At 46.3% G+C, this 13,995-nt stretch overlaps 1 protein-coding gene across 28 annotated transcripts in view, besides 1 other annotated feature; it reads left to right on the top strand.

Moving 5' to 3' along the window:
• Nucleotides 1-13,995, top strand: part of AFF3 (ALF transcription elongation factor 3) — a 597,172-nt gene that overhangs the window by 537,973 nt on the left and 45,204 nt on the right. For all 28 annotated transcript variants that reach the window (NM_002285.3, XM_047444286.1, NM_001386135.1 and 25 more), the window contains 2 exons: nucleotides 2,997-3,183; nucleotides 10,329-11,423. In NM_002285.3, the coding sequence (NP_002276.2) occupies nucleotides 2,997-3,183; nucleotides 10,329-11,423 (1,282 nt within the window). The remainder of the gene's footprint in view (nucleotides 1-2,996; nucleotides 3,184-10,328; nucleotides 11,424-13,995) is intronic.
• Nucleotides 2,449-3,011: an enhancer, noted in NCBI's record as "H3K4me1 hESC enhancer chr2:100218069-100218631 (GRCh37/hg19 assembly coordinates)". NCBI's record gives its function as "activates a minimal SCP1, AML or CMV promoter by ChIP-STARR-seq in primed H9 embryonic stem cells {active_cell/tissue: H9 hESC(primed)}" and the evidence as "EXISTENCE:reporter gene assay evidence [ECO:0000049][PMID:30033119]".

Below are 13,995 nucleotides of genomic sequence, written 5' to 3'. Positions count from 1 at the left end.
CACCTGTGCAGGATGTGCAGGTTTGTTCCATAGGTAAACGTGTGTCATGGGGGTTTGTTGTACAGATTATTTCATCACTCAGATATTAAGCCTGTACCCATTAGTTATTTTTCCTGACCCTCTGCCTCCTCCCATCCTCCACCCTCCAATAGGCCCCAGTGTGTGTGGTTCCCTTCTCAGTGTCCATGTGTTCTCATCATTTAGCTCCCACTTATAAGTGAGAACACGTGGCATTTGGTTTTCTCTTCCTGCATTAGTTTGGTAAAGATAATGGCCTCCAGCTCCATTCATGTCCCTGCAAAGGACATAATCTTTTTTTTTTAAATGGTTGCATTGTATTTCATGGTATATGTGTACCACATTTTCTTTATCCAGTCTGTCATCGATGGGCATTTGAGTTAATTCTGTGTTTTTGCTGTTGTGAATAGTGTTGCAGTGAACATACGCGTGCATGTGTCTTTATGATAGAGTGATCTATATTCCTTTGGGTATATACCCAGTAATGGGATTGCTGGGTTGAGTGATATTTCTATCTTTAGGTCTTTGAGGAATCGCCACACTGTCTTCCACAATGGTTGAACTAATTTACACTTCTACCAGTGTATAAGGGTTCCTTTTTCTCCACAACCTCGCCAACACCTATTATTTTTGGATTTTTACGTAATAGCCAGTCTGACTGGTGTGAGATGGTATCTCAGTGTGGTTTTGATTTGCATTTCTCTGATGAGCAGTGATATTGAGCTTTTTTCTATATGCTTTTTGGCCACATGTATGTCTTCTTTTGAAGTGTTTGTTTATGTCCTTTTCCCACTTTTTAATGGGATTGTTTTTTCTTGTAAATTTGTTTAAGTTCCTTATAAACACTGGATATTAGAGCTTTGTCAAATGCATAGTTTGCAAAAATTTTCTCCTATTCTTTAGGTTGTCTGTTTACTCTGTTGATAGTTTCTTTTGCTGTGCAGAAGCTCTTTAGCTTAATTAGATGTCACTTGTCAATTTTTGCTTTTGTTGCAATTGCTTTTGACGTCTTTGTCGTGAAATCTTTGCCCATTCATATGTCCTGAATGGTATTGCCTAGGTTGTCTTCCAAGGGTTTTATAGTTTTAGTTTGTAAATTTAAGTCTATAATCTATCTTGAGTCGATTTTTGTATATGGTGTAAGGAAGGGGTCCAGTTTCAGTCTTCTGCATATGGCTAGCCAGTTCTCCCAGCACCGTTTATTAAATAGGGAATCCTTTCCCCATTGCTTGTTTCTGTCAGGTTCTACAGACTATTAACATGGATCCCAGATGTTCATGTTCAGTCAGAATTCAATCGTCCTTTTTTTATGATTCCAATGACAGTAACCATCTCGATTCAGCCAACAGGAAAGACAGATTTTTGTTCATAAGGAAGGAAAGAAATATTACAGCCCCTGAGCTCTAACTGTGCCTTGCCCTACTCTGTCTTAAGATCCAGGATTCCTCACTCAATTCTAGACACAAATAACAGGCTGGAAAAGAAATCGCTGCAGCTCAGGCAAGGCATAAATGTGCAGATGTTGTCTGCTGCTGAAGAATTTTGTCAGACAATCAGTGTGGACCGTGACATTGGTGGAAGAAATGAAAACCCCACTAGGGAAAGTTATGTTCACACTCTGGTTCCCCTAACCCTGCCGTTCCAAGAGGTGCTTTTATTTTTAGATCCCCTGCAAGACAGTTTCTTGTCTGGTGGTTTTTATAGAAACAAAGCTCCAATGAGTATTACCTCCATCCCCACCCCCATACCCAGGATTTATGAAAGTCCTCTTTGGGCAAAGCACGTATCAAAGATTTAAGGGATGGGTGAAACAAGTCCTTTACCATGTCCAGGCTGCTTTGCACTTGAGACCGTAAACCCCCACAAGCTCCCTGGCCCCTGGCCTTCATTGATGCTCGGTCCTATAGAAGCACTGGTCACAGTTGGAAGCAGTTTGCTGACTCAACATACAAGAGTGACCGGCATTTTTGGTATTTAGAGCTTGACCTCAAAAGAACACAGTATGGTGTGTTTCAATTTTGTTAATAAAGGACTTTGAAGATGTTGAATATTATGTGAGTACTGAAATTTTCTTTTCTGCTCAAACACTTTCTGGGTGGATGTATGCTATTTGAATTTTTATGGTTAATTAATTACTATCGGAAAGCATCAGTCAATTTTTCTTGTTATCTTTGAGTATGTAATGACTTTCTGGCAAATTTCAGCATGGATATAAACATCAAGTATAAATGTGAAATGCAGTTCCTATAAGTCACAGCACCGGGATTGAATTTTAAAGTCCGGAATATACGAAAGTGTGTCAGTGAGGGATCTTCAGTTCTCTAGGAAAGGGCTCAAAGGAAGGTTACAGTTTATAACAACATCCCAGCACCTGTAATCGCTACAGCACTCAACTACAGGTGGGAAAAGGGAGGAAGCAAGACATGAACTTGGACAGTCCCTTCGTCTCTGGAACCTTCCAGCAGGTCATGAAAGCTCAGAGCAGAACGCCGTGCCCTTCCTGACAGCCCTCTGCCTAATCCCTGCCATCATGCTGCATTTTCCTCTAGGGCAAAAATAAAGCAGTCATTTTCATGCTTTGCAAAATAGTTCAAGCTTTTTGGATTTCCTTGCATTTTTGTAGATGATTGGATTTGGGGATGCATTTGAAAAGCCATTCCCAGAACAGCAGCAAAATGGAAACAGCCATTTGGATGTTATACCACCTTCCCTTCCAAAATGGCCACACGAATAACCAGTGCCCGACTACCAAGGGGCACCAACTTCACCCCCAATTTTATTTCTGTATATGAGTTGCTTTAACCTTTAGGATGACTTTGACCTCGATGCCTGCTCTTTGAGTTCCAGGTCATGGTTGACAGATGTGTAGGCTGCGTGCCTCCTCCCTCTTTAGGGTGCATGACAGCTTGGTGGTGTTTTCCTGTTTGCTCACTTGGCTTTCCTTCCCTCTGCTTCCCGGGGGCCTCGCGGGCTGGCAGCGCCGTGGTCCAGCAGCCCAACTGCAGAACCTCGGTGCCTTCCAGCAAGGGCAGCAGCAGCAGCAGCAGCAGCGGCAGCAGCAGCTCCTCCAGCGACTCAGAGAGCAGCTCCGGATCTGACTCGGAGACCGAGAGCAGCTCCAGCGAGAGTGAGGGCAGCAAGCCCCCCCACTTCTCCAGCCCCGAGGTAAGCGCTGCCTGGCTCAGGCCTCTCCTCTGCCCACTTCTGTCTCTATGAGGATAGCAAGTCCGGGCATTGTCACTGTCACACTGCTGCAGGTCTCCTCCCTCCTGCAGACCCCAAGCCAGGTGCTGGGAAGGAGGAGGCTATGGGCTTCGGGCTCCACATTTTCCCCCTCCTCACAGTCTCCTAATTTCACAGGTTCCTTTGAAGTACAGAAACATCAACTTTCATTGCCCCCAGATTCTCTCTTGACTTCCAGAAATTTCCAAGTATGCTATAAACATCACTGACAGGAAATAACCTATGGCTCAGGTCTCCCTTGGGGTCAGCCAGGGCAGTCGCTGGACAGAGCCACTCACCGCCTGGGAAGTGTGACCACCCATAAATCACAGGGAAAGGGGTTTTATGGGTTGGACATGGTCAGATTCTTACCTTTTTGCGGTTTGTCACGGATCAGAAGAAGAAGGGCTATAAATATTAATAAAACCTTCTTAACTGTGTTTTCTTTGTGAAAATAGAAAAAGAAAAATTAGCATCACCCTAAAAAAATGATGAAACCTTTTATAGCTGTGATGAGTATCTATGTGGAAGATTTAGGTGCCTCCTATAAAAACATTAGAAGGTACCAATAAAAACCATTGCTGTTTCTACTTTAAAGTAGGAAGGGGAAAATTAAATAGTAATTCAGAGCATGAAGATTCTTGGGAGAGGGCTGAGAGAAACTTCCCCAGGCTGCAGAGCTCTAAGGGTAGACTCTAATTTCTAAACAAGGAGTAAAATAGAGTTTCTTCTTGAGTGCGTAAACATTTGACATGACTAATGATTGTCAGGTTTAATTTTTTACTTACAGCCCTCTGTACCATTTGGGGGGGCCATATTCCTAAATAGGCTCTGAAATGGAACTAAACCCACTTCTACAAACCATCTCAGTGGGAGGGGAGCACCTTAATGGGCCCGATCAGCATCCCCGTGTCCAGCTTTTATAGCGGTGCCTTGGATGTTATCACACCTGAAAGCAGTGGTTCCATCTCAGGTTCACAGAGTGGCTCTTCAGTTCCTTCAGGTTTTTCCCCTCCCTACTTCTTTCAGGAGGCTAAAGCTTTTTGCAGGAGCACTGTGAAATCAGGGACATTTTGTTTCCCCACACTCCTCATTTTCTCCTCAGCACCTTTCTGCCCTGGCTCAGGACTCTCCATTCATCCTGAACCAAGCCATCTCTCCACGCTCTCCTTCCCATGAGGTTCAGTCTCTGCCTCTCCATCTGTCCATCTGTATCTATCCATCTATTTATCCATCTATCAATCTCTGTATGAGGGGAAGGCTCTTAGCAACATTAACCTATGAAAGCCTTATGGTAACATAACCCTGGCTTTTCCCAGAAACTAAATTATTATTCCTTCAGCATAATTTCATTTACTCATTCATTGATTCATTTACTCATTCAGAATTCATTCAACAAATATTTACTGAGCATCAGTCACACAGTACTTGGCCCTGGAATACACAATTATATGACAAAAAATGTCCCTATCTTCATAGAGCTGACATTCTAATGGGGATAATTCAAAATGAAAAAAATACAGGAGTTAAATAAAGTAGAAGAGTTAAGCAGGCTTCTTTAAAGCCTGCTTTATGCTATACTTTGTGGAGAAATTCTGGAATATTTAGTTATAAGAAATAACTGCGTCCCAGGGACAGTGCAAGGACAGGGCAGGCAGTGAGGATATCCAAAAACTGTTTGTGTCTGTGAAGATCATCCATCCAGGCTCCTCCTTGTGGCTTTGCAGGTTAAATTCATGAATGTTCAGGCTTATTTTCATCCTGAAATGTAGGTCCTAGAGCTCCTGTGTTGGCTGGAACCTCATTTAAGACCAGTACAGTTGGCCGGGCGCAGTGGCTCATGCCTGTAATCCCAGCACTTTGGGAGGCTGAACAGGTGGATCATGAGGTCAGGAGTTCAAGACCAGCCTGACCAACATGGTAAAACCATGTGTCTACTAAAAATACAAAAATTAGCTGGGTGTGGTGGTGGGCGCCTGTAATCCCGGCTCCTCAGGAGCCTGAGGCAGGAGAATCGCTTGAACCCTGGAGGCGGAGGTTGCAGTGAGCCAAGATCACACCACTGTACTCCAGCCTGGGTGACAGAGCGAGACTCCGTCTCAAAGAAAAAGAAAGAAAGAAAAAAAGAGCAGTACAGTTATAAAGTGCTTTAAGCAAATGCTTTCTAAATGTCACTGAGATAATTACAAAGACTTGAACTCCTGGGTGATGAAAGGAGGCTCTTGTCATTTCTTCCAGCAGCTATCAGAGGCCCCTCGCTAAGGAGAGGGGCAAGAGCCTCCTAAAGGAGTCAGTCCTAAAAGTTTAAGTCACCTGATGCTATGTGTGGTTTTGGATTCCTGGCTTCCCTACACAGAGGACTGCAGAAGCAGCAGGTGATGTGTTAGCCAGGCTGCACGTTCGTTCTTTCTGCAGGAAAGAAATGTATTTGTTGGAATAAAAGTAAAGTTCTTTTAACACTTTTCCTAAGGATAATACAGACACACACACCCTTTAGAAAGAAAATGAGTTTGCAGACTGCAAATGGCAAAGGCAGGAAGTAACATCACCCTGTGTGTCCTCCACAGCTGTGCTGCCTGGTCTGGCGGAGCTGGCCCAGGTCACCTTACAGAGAGCTGTAAGACTCCTTTTCCTGAACCCCACATGACAGTCAGGCTCTTCATAGCCATGCACCTCACATTCCGCTGCTCAGACCAGTTTGTGCTGCTTTGAAGCAGAACGCCTCTGTTCCTCACTCCCCTGCTGTAACATCCTGCTATGGGCGTAGGAGGCGCCCTGTATTCTCCCCACCATGTCCCAGCACTCAGAAAACCCACTGGGCTCAGCTGGGTTGCGTAGGAGATGTTCTTTCTGGCTGTGTGTGTTGAGAGCCAATTTGTTTCACGTAAATCACTGTAGTATGGTAATGCCATGTTCCCGCGTAGCATGGAGGGGCCCTCTCTGTGGCATGATGTGGGCTTCATTGGTCTCAGACAACTTTTTCTCACCGGAGTCTAATCTGCTTTCCAGGCACTGTACAGCCTCTTATACCAGAGCTTTGCAGGAGAAGTTGCTTTTGCACTCAGCTAACATGTTGACCCCACACACGGAACTCACTCGGCCTTTGTTGTACAATATATATTACGTGGAGGAAAAAAATAAAATAAAAAAGCCTGGATACCTAATGTTAAAGAGATCTGGGACAAAATAGGTTGATTCCACCTCTTTACCTATCGAATCATCACGCAACCCTTACTATTGCTCGGGTGTACTGTGTTTTCCATTGTGGCATTTCCCAGATTGATCTGACTCTGGAAACCCTCCTTCATGGGATAGATGAGCTAAAAGCACATTTTGGAAAATGCTGCCCTAGATCGTTCTTAAAAATCAACAGAAATGTGATTCAAGTTGCTCGCTGACTCAACAAGCTTCTCATTTATTAGGTGCCTACGAGGTCCATGGCAGCGGGTACTTGAAGGATTTAGATGAAGCAGGGACCAGAGTGCATGATGGAGAGCTGGTGCGTGAGTCAGAGGGAAGATCAATTAGGGAGGAGAGTCATGGCTGAAAATATAAAGCAGTGAGCCAGCAAACAAACCAGAACCTTGGGCAGAAACCCCGGATGGACGGCTCAGGAGGCGGACTGTGGCCAGCCGCATGCCAGTGGCCTGGCGTCTGCAGCCTGAGGTTCCCCTCCTCACTGCCACTAAACTCTGTATCCTTGCAGCTTCCTTGGCCACAATTGCCTCATTTCCAGAATGGCAGATAATCATGCTCTGCCTAACCTGTGAGGTTGTCGGGGGGAAAATGATGATAATAAAGGAATAAATGGTACAATTTGAGTGACACCTCATTGTGAGTTGTTCTTATTAGGAGGAGAGATGTGGCAATCTGCCTCCCTGACCTAGTATAGATGCTGCAAGGGATACTAAAGAAACAGAGACCTGGCCCTTGCCTGAAAGAAGCATTTGGCTTTTTTGAAGACACAAGACATATATACACATGAAACAAATACGAACATCAAAAGACAACGCAATTGAGTATAACAGAGGGCAACAAGTACTGTTTGGAGTGTTCTTGGTGTTTTCTCCAAAATTCAGATCTAATTCTGTCATTTTAAGTTGAAGACTGACATTTCTCAAAGGAATGCGGTCCCCCTTTCACGAGGCTATGCCAAACAGTGGGAGACACAGTGATGCAGCCGTGGAGACAATTGGTCTTTAAACCTAGATGAGTACAAAGTTAGTCTCCGTAGAGCCCGGTAGCTGTGCAGCTCTGGGTATGTCCCTTAGCCTCTCTGAGCCTCATCTACAAGTTAGGGATGATAACCTTTCTTATCTGTAAAGATTAAATGAGATAATACACATGAAGTGGGAGTTAAACTGTAGGTATTCTGACAATGAAAGATGATTACGAGATAATGGACGCCCTTAAACGCCCCCCTTAGAAATTTGGATTTTGTTTGAGAGGCAATAGGAGGTTATTGTAGATCCTTGAGGGAAAAAAAAGTATGATTTAGTGATGTGTTGAAAGTGGGTACTTCAAACTGATTTCCTCAGCTGTGAAGTGCAGAAAAAATGACCCTAAAGCATACCAGGCAGTGGGCCTGTACTAAATGTATTAAATTCTGCCCTTCTGTTAATGCTCCTGCTAGGAAGTTTCAGTGTGAATTTTCCTGTGTGCAGCTGTGTTTTGGCTACAAACAGACTTCTCTCACATATGAGATGTGGGCTATAGAAGGCTCCGGATGGTAGCAGTGAGGGAGAACTAGTGTGAAACGCAGTGGCGGGGCCAGTGTGAGGGGTGTGTTCTGCCGTGTGTGTGTGTGCCCTCTTCCAATATGTGCACCCTTTCTGCAAGAGGCCCCTTCAGCATCCATTCCTGTTTACTGTGTCCCATTTGTCTAGGGAAGCTGAGGCACAGGCGAAGGCACTGACTTGATGAGAGAAATGGGGGTTGAGGGAGACAAAATTAGAAGCCATTGATTTTTGCCACCAAATTAGTTTTCAGGCACTCTCAGCTAATCTCAGGGGAGGTGAGGGATCCCCCTTGGCCGAGAAGCTGTTCCGTGTCCCACTGTCCTGCTTTCTCTGACCATGGGAGGGCATCTGCCACCGCCACATGCACTGGGCATGTTCCATAGGTTTCCCGTGTTCCCTTTCTCTGGAGAAGCCAAATAAAGCGAGGTCATGATTTACGCAGAACTCAGAGGTACAAAAACCATCTGTCTTTCTACTCATTTGCATATTTCTCTGGTGCCCCGGTTCCGTTGGTGGCCATGAAAACAAGCAAAGAAAAATGTCACGTCAAAGACCAGAATCTGTGTCGGGGCCAGGGGGTCCCCCCTTCCCCACCTGCACTCCAGGATGGGCTTCCGCATCCTCACAGCCCAGGGAAGGGGCCTTCATCCTCATTCTGGCCTTCACTGAAATTTTCTTGCTTCTCCAAGTCACCAGACACCCTGTGCCAGTCTGCCCCAAAGGGCAGTTGGTCCCATCTGGTTTGGGGCAACCAGCAAGATGTCCATGGTCCCTGTCATAGCTCTGGTTGCCTGATCCCCACGCTCTGTGGCCAATTCCTCTTGGCCCCAACCCGTTCTGGCCCATCAGAGGCTTCCCATTTCCCTGAGTTGTGCCCGGACTCAGCCAAGGCCCCTGCTTCTATGATACAGCCCTCTTATTCCCCTTCTGAAATCCTCAGTGCCTGGGGTGAGGCCAAGAGCCCTGAGTTCTGCTCTTAATACAGGCCTCACTGTTGAAAAACAAACCTTGATACTTCAAAGGAACCTTTTCAAATTTTATTATTTAAATGTATTTATTATTTTTATTAAAATTTTATTAAACTTTATTATTTTTATTTATTGTGTTAAACCATTTTTTCTCTGGCAACAGACCCAATTTGCTCTAGACTTGAACTGATCAAGCTTGAAGTATGGAGCTAAGCAGTGTCTTCTTACTCTAGCCTGGTATCTGGTCTCCTCTGAAACAATGGATGCCACGAATTCGAAAGGTGGAAGGCCATAGGGAAGAAAAAACACATCACCTTAGCCAAAATACTTTCCCCATTTCACTTAGAGTCACAAATTGAAAATACTCTGGCTAAAATTCTATTCTTCTCAATACACCTGTTTTCTCTTAATTATCATAATGCTGGATAAATTGACTTTTTAGACATCAGCATTTACTCCCTGTGAAATTATTGGATTGGTCCTTAATTTTTTTTTGCTTCTGAGACATAGATTCTTAGAGACACAACTGAAAAGTACAGACCTCTTCTAGAAACAAAATGCATCTACACATTTCCCATCCATTTCAGGGCATTCCCTAGCCATCCCCCCACCCTCAACCACAGAGCCAACCTGTGGGGCCACAGTTCAAAACCAATGACTTTCATGAGTTGCTCTAAGTTAGCAAACCTGCTTGCAGGAAAGTGTTCCATCTCACCTCCATGTTTGAAATATTTCTAGCAAAGTGTGATGGAAGCAGGTTGAGGATAGACTGACCCAGTCAGGCTGCCAAAGATGCACAAATACCTCTGAAATAGTTCTATATGCAAAACAAGCCATCTTCCCAAGGTCATTGCTCCTACTACCAAATTACTACAGCCTACCTGCCTTCAACACATAAATCATGTGTTAATTGTTTGGGATTGTAGGTTCCACTTAGTCCCCCTTCAGATCTCCCCAAAGTTTTAAGTCTCACCAAAAAAACAAGTGATTTATGCTCAGGGCCTCTAAACAATTCTCTGAGTTTTGGGGAATTTCAAGTTTACATATGTACATATAATTATATAAAAAAATTTATACTAACACTCAAAAGTACTAGGAAATGGGTTCTAATGAGACACAATGCTTTCCTTATTTTTCCAAAGAGGAAGTGCTGCAAGGACATTTAGTGCCACGGGCCGGTAAGGACAGCATCATCCAGGCATCCTGAGTGCCACATGGGGCTGCCACACACGCTTAATGCTTCCATTTTCCTTTTGCTTCCAGCCCATTCGTTTTCTGCTCATATACTTAGAGAAGTAAGTCAAGATAAAAACAGCCAGGCCCCTTTTAAGTGAGCCTGTAATGAAAGATGTTTTGTTTGTCACCGGTTTTCTGCTTTCAGGCTGAACCGGCATCCTCTAACAAGTGGCAGCTGGATAAATGGCTAAACAAAGTTAATCCCCACAAGCCTCCTATTCTGATCCAAAATGAAAGCCACGGGTCAGAGAGCAATCAGTACTACAACCCGGTGAAAGAGGACGTCCAGGACTGTGGGAAAGTCCCCGACGTTTGCCAGCCCAGCCTGAGAGAGAAGGAGATCAAGAGCACTTGCAAGGAGGAGCAAAGGCCAAGGACAGCCAACAAGGCCCCTGGGAGTAAAGGCGTGAAGCAGAAGTCCCCGCCCGCGGCCGTGGCCGTGGCGGTGAGCGCAGCCGCCCCGCCACCCGCAGTGCCCTGTGCGCCCGCGGAGAACGCGCCCGCGCCTGCCCGGAGGTCCGCGGGCAAGAAGCCCACCAGGCGCACCGAGAGGACCTCAGCCGGGGACGGCGCCAACTGCCACCGGCCCGAGGAGCCCGCGGCCGCGGACGCGCTGGGGACGAGCGTGGTGGTCCCCCCGGAGCCCACCAAAACCAGGCCCTGTGGCAACAACAGAGCGAGCCACCGCAAGGAGCTGCGCTCCTCCGTGACCTGCGAGAAGCGCCGCACGCGGGGGCTAAGCAGGATCGTCCCCAAATCCAAGGAGTTCATTGAGACAGAGTCGTCATCTTCATCCTCCTCCTCGGACTCCGACCTGGAGTCCGAGCAGGAGGAGTACCCTCTGTCCAAAGCACAGACCGTGGCTGCCTCTGCCTCCTCCGGGAATGATCAGAGGCTGAAGGAGGCCGCTGCCAACGGGGGCAGTGGTCCTAGGGCCCCTGTAGGCTCCATCAACGCCAGGACCACCAGTGACATCGCCAAGGAGCTGGAGGAGCAGTTCTACACACTGGTCCCCTTTGGCCGGAACGAACTTCTCTCCCCTCTAAAGGACAGTGATGAGATCAGGTCTCTCTGGGTCAAAATCGACCTGACCCTCCTGTCCAGGATCCCAGAACACCTGCCCCAGGAGCCAGGGGTATTGAGCGCCCCTGCCACCAAGGACTCTGAGAGCGCACCGCCCAGCCACACCTCGGACACACCTGCAGAAAAGGCTTTGCCAAAATCCAAGAGGAAACGCAAGGTAGGCCTGGGGCTGACTGGGGTGCGGGGGCGTGGAGGGGAAGGGGCTATCTCTTAACTTGTGGGTACTTGGATAGAGCACCCATAGGCTGCTGTTTGGGACGGTAGGCTGCCGCAGGAGTTTTGTGTGTCCTTACCTAACACACACTTCTAGGGTACTTTCTATATCCAGACACTGTTGTAAGCACTTAACATCTAACTTAGTCCTTAGAACTGCTCAGTGAGGGAAGTACCATTATTATCCCTTTTTTTGGGGGGGGGGGAGGGAGTCTCACTCTGTCGCCCAAGCAGGAGTACGATGGCACAATCTCGGTTCACTGCAACCTCTGCCTCCCAGGTTCAGGCGATTCTCCTACCTCAGCCTCCCAAGTATCTGGGATTACAGGTGTCCACCACCATGCCCAGCTAATTTTTTTGTATTTTTAGTAAAGACAGGGTTTCACCATGTTGGCCGGGCTGGTCTCGAACTCCTGACCTCAAGTGATCTGCCTGCCTCAGCCTCCCAAAGTGCTGGGATTACAGGCATGAGCCACCACGCCCAGCCTATTATCCCTATTTTATAGTTATAGGTAATTAAGCCTTGTCCCACTGCATGTCAAAATAGGAAATATTTATCAAGCGTGTGCACACGCAGCTGGATGTAGGGCCTGTGAGAAAGCTAAACACATGAGAACCCTCACTCTTTGCTGGCAGGAATGGGGTGACATTGATGGTGGGATCACTCATTGGCCCAAGAGGCCAGTGGCCTCATGAAGTTCAAGGTTGTGGCAGGTGAAAATGAATACGGCAGACCCTGATGCAGCATCAGAACCAGCAGCTGTTGCTTCTGTTAGCATTGATCAAGGAGGGCTTCATGGTGGAGGGGCCCTGAAAACAGGGCTCTGTAGAGGAGGGATATTTGAATACGTCCAGGGTCAGGAATGGAAGCGGTGAGTCCAGGGAGTGAGAAGGGCAGCAAAAGCAAGGACAGGGAGAGCTGGGGGGCATCTCTGGCAGCAGAGCCTGAACGTGTAGCCCATTTCGAAGGTTTTTGTGCAGGGGAATACCTTAATCATCCATTAAAGCCAATTTTGAGGGTTTTTAACCCCTCCTGTTACTGTATCTTCATAAGTAATTTTTATCACTGTGAAAAATACAATGGGTGACAGACCAAGATTGCAATATGCATGGATGGCTCCAAATTTAGGACAAAGTTTTCAGTAACAACAGCTCACAGGTATATAGGTCCCCATGACAGATGCTGCTCTAGGCACTTTATACATGTTAAATCATTTCATCCTTATAACTTTATGAGGCAAATATTGTCATACCCATTTTACGGAGAGGGAACAGAGGCTCAGAGAGCCTAAAGCAACTTGCCCAAGGTTACATAGGTCCTAAGGGGCTGAGCCAGGAATTAACCCAGGCTGTCTGGCTTCAGAGCGTCACAATAAGAAATCAGTCTGAGGTCTGTATATTTTCCAGTTTTCTGAAGACAGTCTAGTCTATCAATAGAAAAGTTAGACTGGACACATACGTTTCACAGCTATTTCGAATCCCTGATTGAGAAGGGGACTAAGGAGTACAGCTTGTTACCTTGTCCTGGCCACGATGAATATATTTCTTGCTTTGTAAGTGCGCATGGAGAAGGCACTCAGTCTCCTTTTTATGACAATCATCTTTGTAACCTAAGGGCACCTATGACCAGAGAAATTCATTCTAAAGTACCAGACCGGGTACGGTGGCTCAAGCCTCTAATCCTAGCACTTTGGGAGGCTGAGATGGGCGGATTGCCTGAGCTCAGGAGTTCAAGACCAGCCTGGACAACATGGTAAAATCCCATCTCTACTAAAATACAAAAAATTAGCCAGACATGATGGTGCACACCTGTAGTCCCAGCTACTCAGGCAGCTGAGACAGGAGAATCACTTGAACCTGGGAGGCGGAGGTTGCAGTGAGCCAAGATCATGCCACTGCACTCCAGCCTAGGCAACAGAGCAAGACGCCATCTCAAAGAAATAAATAAATAAAATAAAAAATAAAGTACCAAAGGATGTTTTTCTTCACATAATATTAATAACATTAAGTAATTTATCCCTATAAAGTAGAATTTGAAGCCCTTGCAAGAAAGTTCATGAAAAGAAATATGTTCAAGGGGCAGCTTTTTGCTTTTCCTTGGTATGGATGCAAAGAAAAAAAAATTTTTTTTTTTTTTTTTGAGACAGAGTTTCGCTCTTGTTGCCCAGGCTGGAGTGCAATGATGCTCCACCATCTTGGCTCACCACAACCTCCGCCTCCTGGGTTCAAGTGATTCTCCTGCCTCAGCCTCCCGAGTAGCTTGGATTACAGGCATGTGCCACCATGCCTGGCTAATTTGGTATTTTTAGTACAGACGGGGTTTCACCATTGTTGGTCAGGCTGGTCTCGAACTCCCAACCTCAGGTGATCCGCCTGCCTCGGCCTCCTAAAGTGCTGGGATTACAGGCATGAGCCACTGCACGTGGCCAGCAAAGATAATTTTATAAAGAGGCCCCAACATAGTTTCCACCCAGCACTGGCCATTATTAGCCGGCAGTGGGCGCCCTTAGTTGGTC

The sequence above is a fragment of the Homo sapiens genome, chromosome 2 (assembly GCF_000001405.40).
Source record: "Homo sapiens chromosome 2, GRCh38.p14 Primary Assembly".
NCBI classification, from domain to species: Eukaryota; Metazoa; Chordata; class Mammalia; order Primates; family Hominidae; genus Homo; species Homo sapiens.
The sequence above is the reverse complement of the archived record's forward strand: the minus strand, read 5'-3'. Positions and strand labels throughout refer to the sequence as shown.